Source organism: Homo sapiens, chromosome 1 (assembly GCF_000001405.40).
Source record: "Homo sapiens chromosome 1, GRCh38.p14 Primary Assembly".
Classification (NCBI taxonomy): domain Eukaryota; kingdom Metazoa; phylum Chordata; class Mammalia; order Primates; family Hominidae; genus Homo; species Homo sapiens.
This window is the reverse complement of record NC_000001.11, coordinates 15,184,511-15,204,131: the sequence shown is the minus strand read 5'-3', so window position 1 is coordinate 15,204,131 and position 19,621 is coordinate 15,184,511. Positions and strand designations below refer to the sequence as shown.

The 19,621-nt window shown below is 49.3% G+C and overlaps 1 protein-coding gene and 1 pseudogene across 9 annotated transcripts in view, besides 2 other annotated features; one reads left to right on the top strand and one right to left on the bottom strand.

Moving 5' to 3' along the window:
• TMEM51 (transmembrane protein 51) overlaps positions 1-19,621 on the bottom strand; it is a 67,913-nt gene that overhangs the window by 16,347 nt on the left and 31,945 nt on the right. Inside the window, exon 1 of one of the 9 annotated variants that reach the window (XM_005245919.1) lies at positions 11,583-11,596. The exons of the other annotated variants lie outside the window; for them this stretch is intronic. The gene's annotated coding sequence lies outside the window, so the exon portion shown is untranslated. Of the gene's footprint in view, positions 1-11,582; positions 11,597-19,621 lie in introns of those variants that run through there. 9 annotated transcript variants of the gene reach the window in all.
• On the top strand, positions 11,007-12,375 carry MFFP1 (MFF pseudogene 1; annotated as a pseudogene).
• Positions 15,951-16,523: an enhancer, noted in NCBI's record as "H3K27ac-H3K4me1 hESC enhancer chr1:15514105-15514677 (GRCh37/hg19 assembly coordinates)". NCBI's record gives its function as "activates a minimal SCP1, AML or CMV promoter by ChIP-STARR-seq in naive H9 embryonic stem cells {active_cell/tissue: H9 hESC(naive)}" and the evidence as "EXISTENCE:reporter gene assay evidence [ECO:0000049][PMID:30033119]".
• Positions 16,524-17,095: an enhancer, noted in NCBI's record as "H3K27ac-H3K4me1 hESC enhancer chr1:15513533-15514104 (GRCh37/hg19 assembly coordinates)". NCBI's record gives its function as "activates a minimal SCP1, AML or CMV promoter by ChIP-STARR-seq in naive H9 embryonic stem cells {active_cell/tissue: H9 hESC(naive)}" and the evidence as "EXISTENCE:reporter gene assay evidence [ECO:0000049][PMID:30033119]".

The window sequence follows — 19,621 nt, the reverse complement described above, 5'->3', positions numbered from 1 at the left end:
GTGCCATCTGGACTCAGCATTTGTCCTTGTGTGACAGGCAGTTCTGGACACTGACTGGACTCATTTAGTTTGTCTTCCCCAAGGGGCATTTTGCAGAAAAAAGGAGAGAAGTCACAGATGAGAATTTATCAAATCAGGGACTGCAGAGGGTGCTGGTGAGTATCCACTCCACCTGTTATGCCGTGGGACTGGGAGCCTGGGCTCCAGATCAGAGGCCGGGTTTGTATCTCAGCTCTGTAACTTAGTAATTACCTAGACAAGACAATTCTTAGGGCTCTCAGTCTCAGCTCTGTCATCTGTACAAAGTAAATTTTACTGGGATCTACCTCACTGGGTTTATAAGTGACGAGCTCAGAGTTTTGATTACAGGTGTTTATTCATTTACCTAACACAATATTAACTGAGCACCTACTATGGACCAAGTCCTGATCTAAGCACTGAGGACATAGAAACAATCAAAACAGACAGAAGGCCTTGTCCCCATAGAGCTCACATTAGAGTCTGTGGTATGGTAGCAGGTAATACAAGCTAAAAGAAAATAACAGAGCTGTGGGTAGTGATTTTAAAAACAGGCCAGGTGTGGTGGCTCATGTCTATAATCCCAACACCTTGGGAAGCCGATGCGGGTGGATCATGAGGTCAGGAGTTCGAGACCAGCCTGACCAACATGGTGAAACTCTGTCTCTACTGAAAAAAAAAAAATACAAAAATTAGCCGGGAGGGGTGGCGCACGCCTGTAATCCCAGCTACTCGGGAGGCTGAGGCAGGAGAATGGCTTGAACCAGGGAGGCGGAGGTTGCAAGTGAGCCGAGATCACGCCACTGCACTCCAGCCTGGGTGACAGAGCGAGACTCTGTCTCAAAAACAAAAAACAAAAAACGGTGGCCAGGTACACAGTCACCAAGAAAATGATATCTGAGCAGAGATTTGAAGGATGCGAGGGAGGAATCACATGAATACCTGGGGAAGAACATTCCAGGCAGAGGAGGGAACCACAGAGCCAAGGCTCTAAGTCAGGAGCCTGCCCAGCACTTTTCAGGGACCATAAAGCTGAAGAATCCATGAGTGAATACATTGAGGGCCTTGACCCAATGCCCTGCAGACAGTAGCTGCTCTAATTGTGCCAGAAATCCTTTAAAGGCCTATGGAGGCAGGTGGGCGTCCATTAATCTTTACAGAGGCCCAGAAGGGGTCAGAGACTAACTGAAGGCCATTCAAGTTAGGGGCAGAGAAGAAGCGGGGTCCTGCACAGGGTTCTTTGCTGCTCACCACCCTGTGTTTCTTGGAATTTGGGAACAGGCACATGGGAGGCTGAATCGTGGTCTTCAAAGATATCCGGGTCCTAATCAAAATTTGTAACTTCTAGCCTATATGGAAAAAGTGCCTTTTTGGACATGATTAAGTTAAGAATCTTGAGATGGGGAGATTACGTTGGATCATCCAGGTGGGCCCAATTTGATGAGTAGTAGCCTTATAAGAGGGAAGCAGAAAGGTCAAAGGAGGAAGCAGGAGATGGAATCATGGAAGCAGGAGGATGTGAGGAGAGAGTCACAAGTCCAGGGATGCAGGTGCCTCCAGGAGCTGGAAAAGGCAAGAAGACGCATGCTCTCCTAGAGCCTCTGGAGGAACCAGCCCTGCCCACATTGTGATGTTAACCCATGAAACTGAGGCTGGACTTCTGGCCTCCAGAACACATTTATTGCAAGACAATAAATGTGTGTTGTTTTCAGCCATGAAGTTTGGGGTAATTTGTTATGGCAGACCCAGGCAACTCCTGCAGGTGGCATTCCCGTTCACACCTGTGTATGGTGCCTGCCAGCACAGACTGTTTACCTACTCAATAGCTGATTTGATTAGGCACAGTTTCTCAATCCTGATAAAACCAATCGCTTGGTGAATTATGCGCCCTTTCCTCGTGTGGCCAGGTTGGAGGGAGGCTTGGCATGGCGGTGCTCCTCTACCAAGTTTACATTTTAACCCAGGATTCTGCTAACGAGCCAAGTTTACACTTGTTCTAACATTGCTGGGACCAACAAACTTGATAAAGGTATTCTCGTGCTTGAGTCAGCAGGCACCCCACTTCCTGGGGGCTCAAAACTGCAGTTCCAAAGTGCTGACGACAGGACAAGACTGACGTTTACTTTAAGTACTCATTATATGAGGGCTTTTAAGCCAAAAGTCGAGGTACGTGAAGCAGACAGCCAGCCCTCTGCAGGCCCACGAGTCCTGCAGAAGCAAGCCCTCTGTGTTCCCAGACTTTTCTTAGACCAGCTCTGATTCTGGAGATTAGGACGCCGTTTGAGAAAGTTTGTCCTGCCCATATCTGGACATTTTCTTTTTTAGCCACCGCAATGCTGTCTCTGTAGAAGTGGTTCCCAAACCTGCTGCCAAGAGCTCTTTTGGTATTGAGCCGAGCTTGTCCCCCTCCCCTCGCCATTCCCCGTTCCCTCATCTCCACTTTATACCTGACTTTCCTACTCGAAGCATCTTAGCCAGAGCTGCTTTCTCGAGTCCTGGGTTTCCTTCCTGTCTTCGATTTTTAGGAAGTCACTTGTCACACTTGATTCTTTTTCCAACTGTTACATTTCGGAATTGTGGCAACTACAGTGAACATTCTCCTAAGCTCCTATGAAATGCCAGTGCTGGGTGCCTTACATGCCTTTATTATTATTTATTACTTATTATTACTATTAATTTTATGTATTCCATTTTTAAATTTTATTTATACAATTTTAATACTCATTATATATTTACTTTTCTTTATTAATTTTATGTATTCTGTTTTGTTTTTATTTATAAAATTTTAATATATTTATTTTTCTTAACGACCTATTACGAATATTATTTACTTAATATAATCACAGTCTAATTTCTCAGTTATTTATTACCATGCTTAAACTTCCCAAGCTGATGAAAAAGTTTCTAGAATAAGCCCCATTTCACAGAAGAGGAGCCTGTAGTTAGGGAAGTTAAGAAACTTGCTCAAAGTCACACAGTGAATGGTGCAGCAAAGATTCAAACTAGACACGACTCACTCCGAGTGATTAGTTTTATCTGGATGAAGGAATTGTGCCCAGTCAAACCAACTATTGGGTAAGTAAACAGCCTGCGTGCTGGCAGGTGCCATATACAGGTGTGAGGCACCTGTGGCACACTCCACTGCCTGGTGCCTCCCGGGCCCCCCACTCCCACGAAGAGATCCTCCCTGTGCTGCGGCTGACAGAAACTTTCCCTAGGTCAGTTTCAGTCTCTGTGGTCAGGAGATACAATTCCCTGTTTTTCTTAGTGTCGTTTTTCCCTTCATGAAAACCAGCTTCCCCAGTGTGAGTCATTCAGTCCCCTGCAGCTCTGATACTCATCTGGATGTGTTGTAAATAATTGACGCTGAGATGTTTAATCATAAAACTGGAATTAAGGTTAAAAGGGGACAGCTTGCAGGGAAGGGGAGGGGAAGAGAGATTAAGAGCTTGTATTAGTTTGCTGGGGCTGATATAACCAGTACCACAGTCAGGGTGCCTGAAACAACAGAAATCTATTTTTTCACAATTCTATAGGCTGGAAGTCCAAGATCAAGGTTGGTTCCTTCTGAGCAAGGTTGGTTCCTTCTGAGGCCTCTCTCTGTGGCCTGTAGATGGCCACCTGTTCCCTCTGTCCTCACGCGGTTGTCCCTCCGTGTGTGTCTCTGTCCTAATCTCTCTCTTTTTTTTTTTTTTTTTTTTTTTTTGAGACAGAGTCTCGCTCTGTTGCCCAGGCTGGAGTACAGTGGCATGATCACAGTTCACTGCAGTCTCGATATCCCAGGCTCAGGCAATCCTTCTGCCTTAGCCTTCTGAGTAGCTGGGGACTATAGGTGCATGCCACCAAGCCTGGCATTTTTTTGTAAAGATGGAGTCTCCCAGTATGGCCCAGGCTGGTCTTGAAATCCTGGGCTCAGGAGATCCTCTTCTCACAAGGACACCAGTGATATTGGATTAGGGCCCACTCATATGACTTTACTTCACCTTGATCCCCTATGTAAAGGCCTTATCTCCAAATGCAATCCCATTCTGAGTACTGGGGACAGGGGGCTTCAACAAAGGAATTTGGCGGGGGACGCAATCCAGCCCACATTTGCTTCGCTTAGGCCCTCTTTCCCACTGGGTAATAAAAAAGATCTACCCTGGGCCGAGTGCTCACAACCTCCACGGTATTGCTAATATGTTTCACACATCATCTCCCAGCAGCCCCGGGAAGGAAGTGCTACGGTCCCCACTTCGCAGAGAAGTCAGGGCACAACAGCTCACAGGAGGGAACTAAATCCCACCTCTGCCCAGCAGCAGCTAGGATACAATATTGGTCTCATAGGGTTGAGGGGTGAGCGTGTTATCCACGTGGAGGGTTATCCAACAGAGTGTTTGGCTGGCTGTGTGCAGGTACCACAGGGAAAGTATATCATTTCAGAGCTGGAGGGCCCTGGTGACAGAGAAACATGGAGACTGGGGAGATGGGAGACTATGGCAGCTGAAGGCAAGGACCCTGGCATGCATCTGCTTCAGTAGCTGCTCCTTACGCCTCTCAGAATCTCAGTTTCCTCTTCTGTGTTTGGTGCTGCCAAGACATGATGCTGCAGGGAAAGCTGGCATTATGATTCCCCCAACCCGTGGCTAGCCCACCCTCACAACCACCTGCCCCCCTGGGTTTTAAAATCTCTGTGAACTGACCGGGTGTGGTGGCTCATGCCTGTAATCCCAGCACTTTGGGAGGGCAAGGAGGGTGGATCAGCTAAAAGTCAGGAGTTTGAGACCAGCCTGGCCAACATGGTGGGACCCCATCTCTACTTAAAATATAAAAAATCAGCCAGGCATGGTGGCGTGCGCCTGTAATCCCAGCTACTCGGGAGGCTGAGGCAGGAGAATTGCTTGAACCCAGGAGGCGGAGGTTGCAGTGAGCTGAGATTGCGCCGTTGCACTCCAGCCTGGGCAACAAGAGTGAAACTTCGTCTCCAAAAAAAAAAAAAGTCTCCGTGAACTAAAAAAAGACACAATCGACTTTCTTCACAGCCAGCATGGCATTATGGCATTCAGAAGTGGCCTCACTGTCTATAGAGAAGCCCTGGTGAAACTTCCATGCTGGAAAACGATTTCACAGGGCTCAGTGGGCACATCTTGGGTGTTTTTCCCCTCTGCCACGTCAATCTGTAAACACCAAGCAGGTCCCAGCTAAGGGCCGGAAACGGGGTTGACCTCCTGAGGAATGCACCAGAGAGATCTGGCCAAGGTGAGATGTCACCTGCCCGGCACAGCTCACCTCCAAGCACAGTGAGCCTGCTGCTCTTTCCTCCTTCTCCCTGTGCTGGAGGGAAAGAAAAGAGAGCGTGCCAATTCACTGGTCTGATGTTTTCATTTGGTCGGCAGGGTGGCTGAGTTTTGCCAGTTGGCCAGGTGGGGTGGCTCACGCCTGTGATCCCAGCACTTTGGGAGGCCGAGGCAGGCAGATCACTTGAGGTCAGGAGTTCAAGACCAGCCTGGTCAACATGGTGAAACCCCGTCTCTACTAAAAATACAAAAATTAGCCAGGCGTGGTGGCGGACACCTGTAGTCCCAGCTACTCGGGAGGCTGAGGCACCGAGAATCACTTGAACCCGGGAGGCAGAGGTTGTAGTGAGCTGAGATCACGCTACTGCACTCCAGCCTGGGCAACACAGTGAGACTCTGTTTCAAAAAATAATAGTAATACTAATTTTGCCTATTTGTGGTTCCCAATATCCGTGTTCCCCTTCCTCCATAGTAAGCTGATGCTCGGCTTTCCGTGGCTTCCTAGAATAAAGATAGCAGTACCCAGCCTCTTAGGCAGCTCACTAGCGGTTGCATGTGACTAAGTTCTGGCCAATGGGATATAAGCAGGGTGTGTATAGGGGGTGGGGCACATTCAGGAAGGGAAACATGTTAAATGAGGAGACATGTCTCCCCCTGCTTCCCACTTCCTATTGGTTCTAGTGCAGATGTGATGGTTGGAGCTCAAGCAGCCATACTAGGATGTGAGGTAGAGACTGGCAGAGCAGCAAGATAGAAGGAGCCTAGGTCCCTGAGGATCACGGTGCTGCCTTTTCAGCCCTGGACTGCTGACCTCTGGACTCTGTTTACATAAGAGAAAAATAAAGGTTTATCTTATTGAATCTGCTTTTTTTTTTTTTTTTTTGTCATGTATAGCCAAAGCTACGCCTGTCCACACAGGCTGAGAGGTTCACGGTTGTGGGAGGAAAGGTGGTGGCTGGCTGGGTGCAGATACCACAAGGAAAGGGACATAGTTTCAGAGCTGGAGGGCCCTGGTGACAGACACAGCGAGATCAGGGAAGTGGAGGGCTACGGCAGCTGAAGGAAAGGACCCTGGTGTGCATCTGCTTCACTAGCTGCTCCTTCCACCACTGAGAGCCTCGGTTTCCTCATCTGTAAAATGGCAACAATGATACCATCCCGACAAGAGAGTACACAGAGCCTGTGCCCATAATCGGAGCACTGGTCACAACACACACTTAGCAGGAATGAGGTGAGTGATTCAGTACGGGGCTTTTGGAGAGAGCCTCAGTACGGGGCTTTTGGAGAGAGCCTCAGCCAGAAGCAGGGTAAGAAGATGGCCTGGGTAAAGATGCAGAGAAGGCCTCTTCAGTCAGAGAGGCCGGGAAGCCCTGAAAACGCAGGGTCCAAAGGTCACAGGAGGAGGTGTCCAACAGGGAGGGGCACCGGTCAGTCTCAAGCGCCCCAGAGAAGTTGAGAGGATGCTGTTGTTTTACCTGCCCAGCAGGCACTCCTAACCTGCTGGGAACAGTGCCTGGTTTTCCTTCTCTAGGGCCCTCCCCATTCTCAGTCCATATGACTTTGATTCTGGCTCAAGGGGCAGGCACATGCCCAGGCCTGGCCAATCAGGGCCTCCCACACTCTGGGGCACAGTGATAATTTCAAGACGGACACGTAACCCACACTGGGCCAATGAGTTTCAAATTTTAACTTTCCCTGGAATTGCTGAGAAAGAGACACTCCTCCATTGCATAGGCAGCTCAGAGCATTGGGCAGAGAAAGCCTGCCTGGGAATGAATGAACACAGCAAAAAGCAGAACCAAACGGCAGGGAGTGAGTCCTCATGGCACTGTTTGCAAACCTGGATCCCGCTGTGTCTGAAGAACCCTGGAGGGCTGAGTGATAAGAGCTCATTCATTACACTGAGTTTTCTGTCTCCTGCATTTGAAAGAGTCCTAGAATGCCAAAACTAGAAACTGAATTCTAGTCAACACTTATCTTTAGAATTCTGCACTACATCCCAGGGCCAACTAGCTGAATTAATAGGTGACTTGAAATTATGTTGTCACTGTTGTTTAATGCACATACTTGTTCATAAGTCTTTTTAAATTGGAAACTGGGAAAACAATTTTTTTGAAATGACATGTAAAATTGGATGGTCATTCTGGTACCAGTCTGGAAGCACTTAATTCAATAAAATTAAAGGGCTGGGTACAATAGTTCATGCCTGTAATGCCAGTGCTTTGCGAGGCTCAAGTGGGAGGATTGTTTGAGGCCAGGAGTTTGAGACCAGCCCAGGAAACATAGAAAGACCCTGTCTCTTGCTGTGTGTGCTGGTGCACCATGTCTCTAGAAAACAAAGTCTCCACATACTCCCTCACAGTGGTATGCTGGTAAACTAGCTCTCTCTCCCTCCCCCTCTCTCTTTCACATGTGTGCATGCACACGCACACACACACACACATGCACACACACACACAGCCCAGATTTGTAGTGATTGCCACGGCCCATCGCTGTGGTGTAAATATTCCCATCACAGCACTATCGAGCTACTGACACGATGTCACTGAACTCGGAGTAGGGAGGAGATGTGCATAATTGGCTGTTGTAAAGTGGTCCAAGCTCACTCTGGCACAGCACGGCAGGTCTCCAGCTGAGTTCACATCCCACACAGGGCCCGTGGGTGAGGCTGTCCACTGCAGCAGTCTGGGTGTCTCTGGGTGGGGGATGGATGGGTGGATGAGCTAGGCGCACACCATGCAGTGCCATGCAATTGTCAGATGCAGTGAGTGAGATGCACACACAGCAAAGTCGCAGGAATAAAAACTCAGGGCTGAGGACTGCCTCCATCTTTTAAGTGATGGGGAGGGAACTTTTTGCCTTGAGTAAGCCACGGAGTTGCAGGTCTCTGAGGACCCACACATAATTGATACTCTCAACACATCTCAGAAAAAGAAGTTCAGCCAGGACTGCTTGGGCTTCTTTCCCACAAGCCACGTCTCCTGGGAATCCTGCTGGGTCAAGGCCGAGGGCAGTCGGTTGGGCAGGAGATGCTCGTTAGGAGCTGGGCTCTGTGCTCAGGCTGCTGGAGTCTGGAATCAGGCTCAGTACCCACTAGGTGTGCAACCCTGGGCCAGCTCTTCCCTCAGTCTCAGAATGGGGGTGATGTGAGGACAAAGTGACATGTCATATAGCAAGCCCTAGCTGGTAGTAATCTCAGAACTCAAGGAAGAATCGATGAGTCAAGAGACTCAGAGAAGGAGCTAGAACATCCTAGAGAATGAGGGCAAACCGGTTCCTTTGAGGTAGCCTAGAGAAGATGAACGAGGGTGGGGGACTCATGGGAACAAACTATGGGGACAAGAGAGTCCCAATAAACTCTATGGGACTCAAGATGTGGCCAGTCTGCATTGGGATGTGCTATTCAAGTGTAAAACACACACTAGATTGCCAAGGCTTATCAGGACAAAAAGAAAATCTCACTAACATTTTTATATTAATTACGTGTTGAGATGACAGATTTTGGATATATCAAGTAAAATCTATTATTAAAATTAATTTTCCTGTTTCTTTGTCCTTTTATAAAAAGATGTGGTTGCCAGGAAATTTAAGATTATATATGGGGCAGGCCGGTGCAGTGGCCCACGCTTGTAATCCCAGCACTTTGGGAGGCCGAGGTAGGCAGATTGCTTGAGCTCAGGAAATCGAGACCAGCCTGGGCAACATGACGAAACCCCATCTCTACAAAAAATACACACACAAAAAAACTAACGGGGCATGGTGGTGAGTGCCTGTAGTCCCAGCTACTTGGGAGGCTGAAGTGGGAGGATCACTTGAGCCTGGGCAGTGGAGGTTGCAGTGAGATGAGATCGCGCCATTGCACTCCAGCCTGGGTGACACACAGCAAGACCCTGTCTCAAAAAAAAAAAAAAAAAAAAAAAGTAAAATTATATATGGGGCTTGAATTCTCTTTCCATTGGATAGTGTTGCTGCAGGTGCGCTCTTGAATTTATGGCCAGGAAAATAAAATTGCTGGCTGAAAAACGTAAGGTAGGGGATAACCAATCAGAATGAGACAGAACGCAATATCATCCACGGAAATGAGAAAGACACAATGTACAAGACCACAGCCAACAAGAGGCATGTTAAACATGTTAGGATGGGTGCCCTGGATGGAATAGGAGAGGGGAGAAAAGAGGAATAAAAGAATAACAACGAAAAGATAGGAAGCGGCTGTGTAGGGCCCAGTAACAATGACATGTTACAAACTGAGAGGTGCATTAACCTAGCCCTCTGAGCTGAGGCCCAGCACCTCTCTAAATCCAGAGAAATGGTGGCTCCCCAATTCCACAGCAACAGGGAGCCACGGAGCCCACTGCTATGGCCAGTGCAGTCCCAAGGGGCACGTGGCAGGAATGGACTGATGGACAATGCGGGGCTGAGCTCCAGGTGACCCAATGACAATCACACCCAGCTTGCTGTCAGGTGGCCAGAGGGAACTAGCTTTCATCAAGTTTCTGAGGCTTAGGAGGACAAAAAGAATACCTCACTAACATTTTTATATTAATTTCATGTTGACATATTTTGAACATGTCGAGCTAAATATATTATTAAAATTAATTTTGCCTGTTTCTTTGTCCTTTTTAAAAAAGGTGTGGTTACCAGGAAATTTAAAATTATATATGGGCCTTGAATTCTATTTCTGTTGGAAAGTGTGGCTGCAGGAGGTAAACTTTCAAGGGTGTGAATTTTTGTCATTTTTGTTCACTGCCCTCTCTAGTCCAAGAACAAGCCTGGCACAGGCCAGAGGAGCTTAATAGATGTTTGTTGAATGAAGGAATAGCACAGCATAGTGGTATAGTGGAATCTGTTGAGTGAATCAGTAGTTGGCTTAGCAGTAGAGTGGAATATAGATGGATTTTGGAGTCTGTGGGATGTAGGTTTAATTCTGTACACCCCTGGCAATGCCCTTCACCTCCTCACCTGTTAAAAAGAAAATGCTGGCCAGGCGCAGTGGCTCACGCCTGTAATCCCAGCACTCTGGGAGGCCAAGGCAGTTGGATCACCTGAGGTCAGGAGTTCGAGACCAGCCTGGCCAACATGGTGAAACCCTGTCTCTACTAAATAAAAATACAAAAATTAGCTGGGCGTGGTGGCACGCACCTGTAATCCTGAATCACTTGAACCCAGGAGATGGAGGTTGCAGTGAGCCGAGACCGTGCCACTGCACTCCAGCTTGGGCGACAGAGTGAGACCCTGTCTCAAAAAAAAAAAAAAAAAAAAGAAAGAAAGAAAAGAAAAAGAAAATGCTGTCTACTTCCCCAGCCACTTCTGAGAGTCCAGGTCCGGCACAGGACAGGCACACTGCAAGCTGCTGTTGTCATTTGCTGTGGGAAACCTGGGGAGGCCAGAGAACAGTGCCACAGGGCTGTTGCCTTTCTGGGTGTGTGAATGATAACTCCACGTTAGGTGCCAGCCTGTGATCTCAAGCAGCTGCTCAGAGGTTTATCCCAAGACAGAAGGGCCCATATCCATCCCACTGCAGGAACTACAGCCAGTTTCCCCACAAAGACAGGCAGTGGCAGCCTGGAGAGGGAGGCCTAGGGCCGGCAGCTGGTGCAACTGGGGACTAGGAGAGGTACCTCCATGGGTCACCTGGAATGGCTCTAATTCAGAAACCCCCAGATGACAGCGCAGGCTGTTCTGTGGGCTTCTCAGATTCCTCCCCAGAGGGGCCCTCTGCGGGCTGCTACGCCGGTGCTGTGCCTGGGCGCCTCCGTGCTCTCAGCCAACAGCCTCTAAGCACCCGCCCCAATGCCCCCGGGAACTGGCGGGTGGCAGCCCTCACTGGGACCCTCCTGTGGGCCCAGGGGGACAAAAGTGGCTCTCAATCCAGCACATGCACATTGAAGCAAGTCAAAGGATTTACTATGAAGCATAGAAGCAAACCGTGCCAAATAGCAAGTACACATTTGTGAGTGGGGCAGCATTTCCTTCTCCCACTGCTGCAGAGATGGCAGAAATCCGTTGAATTCAGTAAGAAATGGAATAGACTGCAGGCATTAGTCAGTAAGTGAGGATCCCAGAAAAGTTAAAAGTAGCACCACCGGCCAGGCGCAGTGGCTCACGCCTGTAATCCCAGCACTTTGGGAGGCCGAGGTGGGTGGATCACGAGGTCAGGAGTTCAAGACCAGCCTGACCACGATGGTGAAACCTGTCTCTACTAAAAATACAAAAAGTAGCCGGGTGTGCTGGTGCGCACCTGTAATTCCAGCTACTCGGGAGGCTGAGGCAGATAATTGCTTGAACCCGGGAGGCGGAGGTTGCAGTGAGCCAGGAGATCATGCCACTGCACTCCAGCCTGGGCAGCAGAGCAAGATTCTGTCATAAAAAAAAAGGAAAAGAAAAGAAAGAAAGAAAGAAAGAAAAAAAGTAGCACTGCCAAACGCTGACCTGGAGCAAGGATTCCAAGAAGGAGTTCCTGATACTAGTGTGCAGGTTCTGGAGAGGGTTGGTGTTGTAAGAAATAATGAAGATATTCCACTTTCAAGACCAGTAGATCCTGACCTTATTCAATCAACTCCCTTCAAACCCCTGGTGCTAAAAACTAAGTGAAAGACCACCAGATTTTCTGGATTTAGAAAGATCTCTTACAACCCCTGAAAATGAAGAAATCTTTGCAGCCGGCAGACTAAAGAGGGCACGGTCTATGAATGAAAATGCTGTTCATCAAAACGGACAGCTGGTCAGAAATGATTCTCTCCCTGTGTCGCGTGGCAGGTCTGCTCCGGCCACTTCTAATCCTCATCATGACAACATCACGTATGGCATTTCAAATACAGACGCAACAACTGAAGGAACATCGGATGACCTGACTGTTGTAGACGCAGCTTCACTAAGACGACACATAATCAAACTAAATAGACGCCTACAACTTCTGGAAAAGGAGAACAAACAACGTGCTAAAAGAGAAATGGTCACGTAAGTCAATTACTGTAGCTTTCTGGCTGTTTAATAGCTGGCACTGGTTTGGCCACTAGAGTAACATCAGCTCTCAAAAATATTGTCTCAACAGCTGGAAATAAAAAGATTTGCAAACTTCAAAAAAAAAAATTTCTCCCCAGAGAAGCAATTACTACTGAAAAATATATTTGCATTTGGGATGAGTGATCTAGGAACACGGAGGCTGAGGAGGAGGAAGAGAAAATAGCAGTCATCTCACAGCCGTGCTCTGCTACTTATTAAAGTGAGGCTTTGGGCAGATGAAGGAAACTCTCTGGGCCTGAGTGTCTGTGCCTCTAGCATGGGAATGGCAGTGGTGGCTGCCCTTCCCAGCAGGGGCCTCTGGGGGCCAGGTGAGGCGACTTGGACCAGTGACTGTTCCTCAGCTGACTCGACGTGGGTGAAAACCTGATAAACGGCTACCCACCGCCCCAAGAAGGGCTGTGTTAATTTCATGTTGCTTCTCCAGCCACTTCTGATATAGCAAACTGCCACCAACTTGTGGCTTCAAGCAACACAAAGGTATTCTCTTGTCGTTCTGGAGGTCAGAGGTCTACAATCAAGGTGACCAACGGCTGTGTTCCTTCTGGAGGCTTCAGGGAAGAAATCCATTTCCTTGCCTCTTCCAGCTTCTAGAGGCCACCTGCCCTTGTTGGCTGCTGGAACCTTCTTCCACCTTCAAAGCATATGCATCCAGCTTCTGCTTTGGTCACCACACCTCCTTCTCTGACTCCGGCCTGCCTGCCTCCTCCTTATAAGAACTCTTGTGGGGCCGGGAGCAGTGGCTCACGCCTGTAATCCCAGCACTTTGGGAGGCCAAGGCTGGCAGATCACCAGGTCAGGAGATCAAGACCATCCTGGCTAGCACGGTGAAACCCCATCTCTACTAAAAATACAAAAAATTAGCCGGGTGTGGTGGCACGTGCCTATAATTCCATCTTCTGGGGAGGCTGAGGCAGGAGAATTGCTTGAACCCGGGAGGTGGAGGTCGCAGTGAACCGAAATAGGGCCACTGCACTCCAGCTTGGGCGACAGAGTGAGACTCTGTCTCAAAAAACAAAAACAAAAACAAAACAAAAAACCAAAAACCAAAAACAAAACAAAAAAACTCTTGGGACTACATCATGCTCACTTGGATAACCTGGGATCATGTTCCTGTCTCAAGAGCCCTAACTTAATCACACCTGCAAAGGCCCTTTTACCATGTAACGTAAATAGTCACAGATTCTAAGATTAGGATGTAGATCTTTTGGGGGTAGGGTAGGGGAGCATTATTTAGCCTACCACAAGGGCCACAGGCACAATCCTGTATAATTTAAAGGGAATTCACTGGCTTTTCCTGGAGTGTCCCCCAGGATAAGATTTCCTGCCCTGGTATCTGGCAGCAGGGCTCTTGCAGCTTCAGGTGGATCTAGACAATGTGTGTCAGGTTCCAAATTGGGAGGAGTACACATTTTATCAGAGGGCGTTTCATTTTTAAAAGATGCATCTTCACATTGTGCTTAGAAGAGTTCACATGCACTGAATGCTTCCTCTGAGCCCAGATGACCTCATGTCATCACGAAGCAGCCACCACTGCCAATCCCATGCTAGAGTCACAAACACTCGAGCCCAGAGAGGTTCCTTAACCTGCCCAAAGCCTCATGTTAATAAGTAGCAGAGCACGGCTGTGAGACAGATAGTGAGTCCAGAGTCCATCCTCTGAACCCCTCTAAAATCCCGTCTCTCACCTGCCCCCAAGCCCTGCTCTAAAAGAAGGAGTTTTTAATCTACACACCAGTTCCATGAACAAAGCACTCCTTTATCTAAGGTCAGAAGCAGAGGTTTGCTAATGACAGAGAGAGGGAAGGGGATGAGGGGTTGTCCCAGGCCGTCAGTAGCAAAGACAAATACCAATGTCTTAAGCAACCTGCCTTGGAAGACAGGGGTCAAGGCTGAATGCCGAAAGGGCCTCTCTGCCACCTTGGGTTAGCCCCTGCTATCCAGGGCTCACGGGGCTGCCTGAGGCCTTATGTCCAGGAACTTTGCCCTCTCTGGGCTTCACAGATGAATCACAACCCACAGGCCTAGAGCCCTGCCCCGGTACCAGCCACTGAGCTGGACATTTTGCATGTCATCTTTGTAAATGGAATCATCCCAACACTCCCTGGCTGCTGTCTTGTCCCTGCTGTAAGAGGAGGGAAGGGAGTGGAGATCACAGGCTCATAACCAGCACTGTGCAGATTCAAAACCAGATCATCCTCCTGCAAGCCCCACGGTGGGTGTCCCAGCCTCTGGTAGATCAGTGAGTGTTCCCTCAGGCCAGGAGCTATGCCAGCATCATCTCTACCCTCTGGGGTGTTTAGATCCAAAAGATGAGCTAAGGAATTGTAACTCCAAATGTTTAGGCATGGAATGGAGGCAGCCAGAGAGGTGAAGGCCAGCAAGGGTCAAGACTGCTTCCTGAGCCTGGAGAAACTTCCAGGCTGAACAACCAGCACAATAACAATAGTAATGACAATGGCTGGGCGAGGTAGCTCACGCCTGTAATCCCAGCACTTTGGGAGGCCGAGGCAGGTGGATCACCTGAGGTCAGGAGTTTGAGACTAGCCTGGCTAACATGGTGAAACCCTGTCTCTACTAAAAAAAAAAAAAAAAAAAAAAGGAAAAATTAGCTGGGTGTGGTGAAGGGTGCGTGTAATCCCAGTTGCTCGGGAGGCTGAGGTGGGAGAATCCCTTAACCTGGGAGGTGGAGGTTGCAGTGAGCCTAGACCACACCACTGTATTCCCGCCTGGGCAACACAGCGAGATTCTGTCTCCAAAAAAATATATAATGACCAAATATCAGCTGCTATTTCCTGAGTGCCCTCTATGAGCTGGGCATGGATGGTTGGATGGTACTGCCCAGTAAGGGTGGACCCTGGAGAGGCAGGAGCAAAGCTGCTGACCTCTGGCTGCTGTCTCTCTCCAGACATCCATTCAACAAACATCATCTTTGTAATGGAATCATCCCAACACTTCCTGGCTGTGATCTCATCCCTGCTGTAAGAGGAAGGAAGAGAGTTGAGGTCACAGGCAGTGATGTAGCAGTCACCCAGGTGCTGGGGGACACGGCAATGGCATCTTGGGGAAATGACCCAGTGCCAGGTCCCCCACAGGTACGCCCTCTCTTTACAAAAGCCTAACACCAAATAGGAATGTCCCAAACAGGTAAACTGAGGAATGCTTCTTGTTATCAGAAAAGAAGTCACTGCAGAGACCCTTCAAGTAGAATGCTACTGTCTTTCTGGAGTGTAAAGCTATCCAAGCCTGTTGCACAAGTGATTCCCAACAAGGGTCTTTGGGGGCCCTGGGGTATGGCCATGCTGGGCTGGGTGAGCTGGGCTGCCCTGGGTTACCTTGCTGAGCACTCAGGTGATGTGGTGGCCATGTCATGTGCTTGCCTACCAGGCAGGGCCTCTTCCTTGCAGGTTCTAAGGCTGGGCATGGTCAGGCCTAGCCAATCAGTTCTTCTGTGTCCCAGGGGGTGGGGCTGTGGCCCAGTCAGCACCAGTGAGGCTCAGTTCTTTGCTTTGGGGGAAACACTGAGACTTCCCTGTCCCTCTGGGTTTGCAGGAAGGACAGGATGCAGCCTGCAGCTGCTGGTGGCCGTCTTGTCATCACAAGGGGAGAGGCTGCCTGAGGAGGGGACCAGCAGGGAGCTAACGCGAGCCGAGGTGGAGATTCAGAGAAACTCCAGAGGGTACCACTGGACCCAGAAATCCAGCTGGACCTAGCAATGTTTCCGTTGTATGAGCCAAAAACACTCTCATCTAATAAATTTTTTTAAATGAAATAAGTGACCAAAACAGTAAAACAAAACCTACCCCCCCTTTTCTGAGGCCAGCTTGGTGCCAACAGCGCGAGCAGCTAATGCCACCTGTGCCCATGCATCCTCTCAGCTTGCACAGTCAGGTCGCTGGCAGCTGCAAAGTGGGGGCTCAGGAATGGGGGCTGAGAGTCAGGCTCTGAGGGTTTTATCAGAGCTCTTTCCTTGGCCGGGGTGTTTTGAGGATGGCTGCTAAGGTCACTCACTGAGAGAGGGCTGTGGCCCCAGCAGTGAGGGAAGAAGGACAGAGTCCCGGGGCTGCAAGTTGGAAAATGTCTCCTAGGCCACTGCCCTAGAAGACGCCACCCCATAGAGAGGGTCATAAATCACCGTGGTGGGAATGCCTCTGGGCTGTTAGCAGGAAATAGAGGGTGGAAGAACCAGGCCTGCCCTTGAAAACGTTATTGTCAAGGTTATGATCTACATCCAGCAAACAGATACAGGAGAAAAGAAAGGAAGCAGAGATGGATTGACAGAGCAGGCAGACAGCCCCTGGGGCTCCATCTGCCCCCATGGGCCGGGCATGGTACTAGGACCTACAGGCATCACCACCCTCTGCCCTCAGCCTCCTGCATGCCCAAGATGGGCAAAGAGAGAAGAAGCCGCAGTGAGACCACATGCTAGGGGCCAGGGGCAGGAAGGAACAGAGAGGCATGGACAGCACAGATGAGGGAAAAGCGAGCAGAAGTGCAGGGGACCTGTGGAAGCGCAGGGGAGGAAGAGATGAGGGCAGAGTGGTGGCAACAGGGCGAATTAAGATCCAGTCCCCAAGGAGTCAGTGGGGGATGGGGATCTGACTCGGGGAGGGGTGGATGGGGGTTGGGGGATGGGGGTGCTGTGTTGGAAGGAGGGTGACTCTGCCTGGGGCCGCACACTCCCACTGGATAGCTGTGGCCTCTCTGGTCAAACAGCTCAGCCTCTGATGTCCTGCAGCTGCTGGAGGGCCCGGCCCAGTGCAGGTTTTGTGTAGAGATGGCCCATCAGTCACACATACCCCCCGACAGTGGGGTTGCCGGGACACATGCTGGCCACCTCGCATTCCTCCCAGTGGTTTCCCCAAGCACAAAGGGGAGGAGGCACACAAGGCAGCCGGCCTGCTTCAGGACTGCCCCCTACTTTCTGCTTGGTCTGGACCAACCCCACACCTCACCTGGATACAGACTGCAAAGGCCTCCCCTGTGGTCTCCCTGCCCCCTGGCCTGCCCTCTCTCCACTGCTCTCAGAGAGGTCCTTCCAAAAGGCAAATGTGACCATCCCACCCTCAGGCAACATCCCTTCATGGCTCCCTATGGCCTAGCAGGATAAAGCCCTGCTCATAAGGCTCTTCGTGGTCCTAGTGCCTGCCACTCCCCTCAGGCCTGGGTTAATTTCCATGCACAATTTCATTTAATCTTCCCCACCACTCAATACACAACCCCATTCTACAGATGTCTTAAGTGAAGCTGGGAGAGGCTAAGTAAACTTTGCCCATTTCCCCTATCGGCAGAGTCACTATTTTCCTCATCTAGGGTCAAAACCAAGGTCATCCATGACCCCCCGCTCTCCCTCATTCAGGGGCAAGTCACAAACATCCATTAGTCACAAATGCCCATCTCTTCCCCCTTTTCTGTTTTCACTGCTGCCATTCTGGGGTAGACTGTTATTCCTCACTGTACCCACCAGGCTTCCTTCCCCGTCTTTCCTGTCCATCCAATTCACCCAGCACACTGCTGCCATTTTGATCCTCCTGGAATAGCCATTTTCTATCCAGTTACTTCCTGCTCAAGAACTTTCAGTGGCTCCCCAGTGCCAAAGAATCAAAGACCAGACTCCTTCACGCCATTTACCCCCAACCTGAGGGGTTTGGGAAAACAAGTAGGGAGGCTTCCCAGGGTGCCTTCCTAAGCCTCTCAAGAGGCTCCCGCCTCTCTCTACTGGCTGAGTGGGAGGAGGGGGCAGGGTCCCTCCCTTGGGCTCAGGACACAGGTAGCTGGAGGACAGGACTGGATTCCAGCTGTTGGAGCCCTCATTGCTGCCATGGAGTCAGCCTCTCTGACCTGCAGAGTCCTTGCTTGGGGTTCTAATGGGGTAGACATGGTTCTTTCCACTTGGAGGTCTCTGTGGACGTTTAAAAGGATGACAGCATGGATAATAGGAGGATGGCCACAGGCTACAGCATTCCACGTATGAGCCTGAACTCAAAACTGACCTCTGCACAGCTGTGGTACCCACAGATGGGCATAGGAAGATGACACTCAGTTCAGCCAGTGAAAAGAGATTCAACTGGTCTTCCCAGACTACAGAATTCAAGTTCACAGACTGGTAAAATTCCTCCCATCTTTTGGAGATCACCTGTCACAGCACTCTGGAAGTACAAGGCTAAGAATGTCCCTTTCGTCACCCATTGTAACCAACCTCACATATAGACACGACCAAGAAAAATAAATCAGAAACATAAGCCATAACCGTGTATTAAACTGAAAATCTGAAATTAATATCCCAGTAAATGAAGAAGAGACTACTTATTATAAGGGGATTTCCCCACTTCCAAGAAGTATTGGGCCTCAGTTTTCCCACCTGTACAGTAAGAACTTGGGTAGGACTATATTATCCCAACATTTCTTCCTGCACTGAAATTCTCAGGTTTCATGAGTTAGTCCCAGTTAGAGAAGGCTGCCTAGGTCACAAGGATAGCAATTTTTGGAAAGTTCTTTGGAGAAAAAGAAAAAATATCACAACTGATAGAATGAATACAGTTTTGGGCAATGTGGCAGTAACCTTCCCCATGGGGTAGGAATAGAACAGATTTGACAAAATGAACAGTCTTTTCCTATGGTGGGCTCAGGGCTCCTAAGTTTTGAGCATTTCCCAAGCATTACTTCACCGGTGAGGTGGCTTATGGGAAATCTGCGTATACGCACAGAACAAAGTCTGGACCATCAAGCACACTGGGAACAGTAGTTATCTTTGGGGTGTGGGGGTCAGATGGGGGTGGGGCAGGCAGGACATTTCTGCCTTCCTGTACTTCTATGCAAGGTTTCTTTCCCCTGGCTCCACTGACATACTGGCAGATAATTCTTTGTTGGGAGTGCTGTGCTGTGCAATGTCGGTTGTATAACAGCATCTCTGGTCTCTACCTACTAGATACCAATAGCATCTCCCCAGCTGGGGGCAACCAAAAATGTCTCTAGACATTGCCAAATGTCCCACGCGAGGGCAAGATCACCCCTGCTTGAGAGCTCTATACTCTATACTATTGAGTTTTAAAAAATTAAGATAAGCACATATCTTATATGATGATGGATGGCTTTATTTAACACCTCAGCAAGTGTGGTTGATTTTACCTGTCCAAAGGTTTCAAATCCACCTACTTCCTGCTTCTGCCATCACTACCACCTTTGTCTAAGCCACTGTCACCTGGACAACGATATCAGTTTCCAACCTGGTCTCTCTGCAGCTGCCCTGGCCCTAGCAAGTCTTTACGCAGCAGCCAAAATGAGCTTCTAGAAGCATCCTTCAG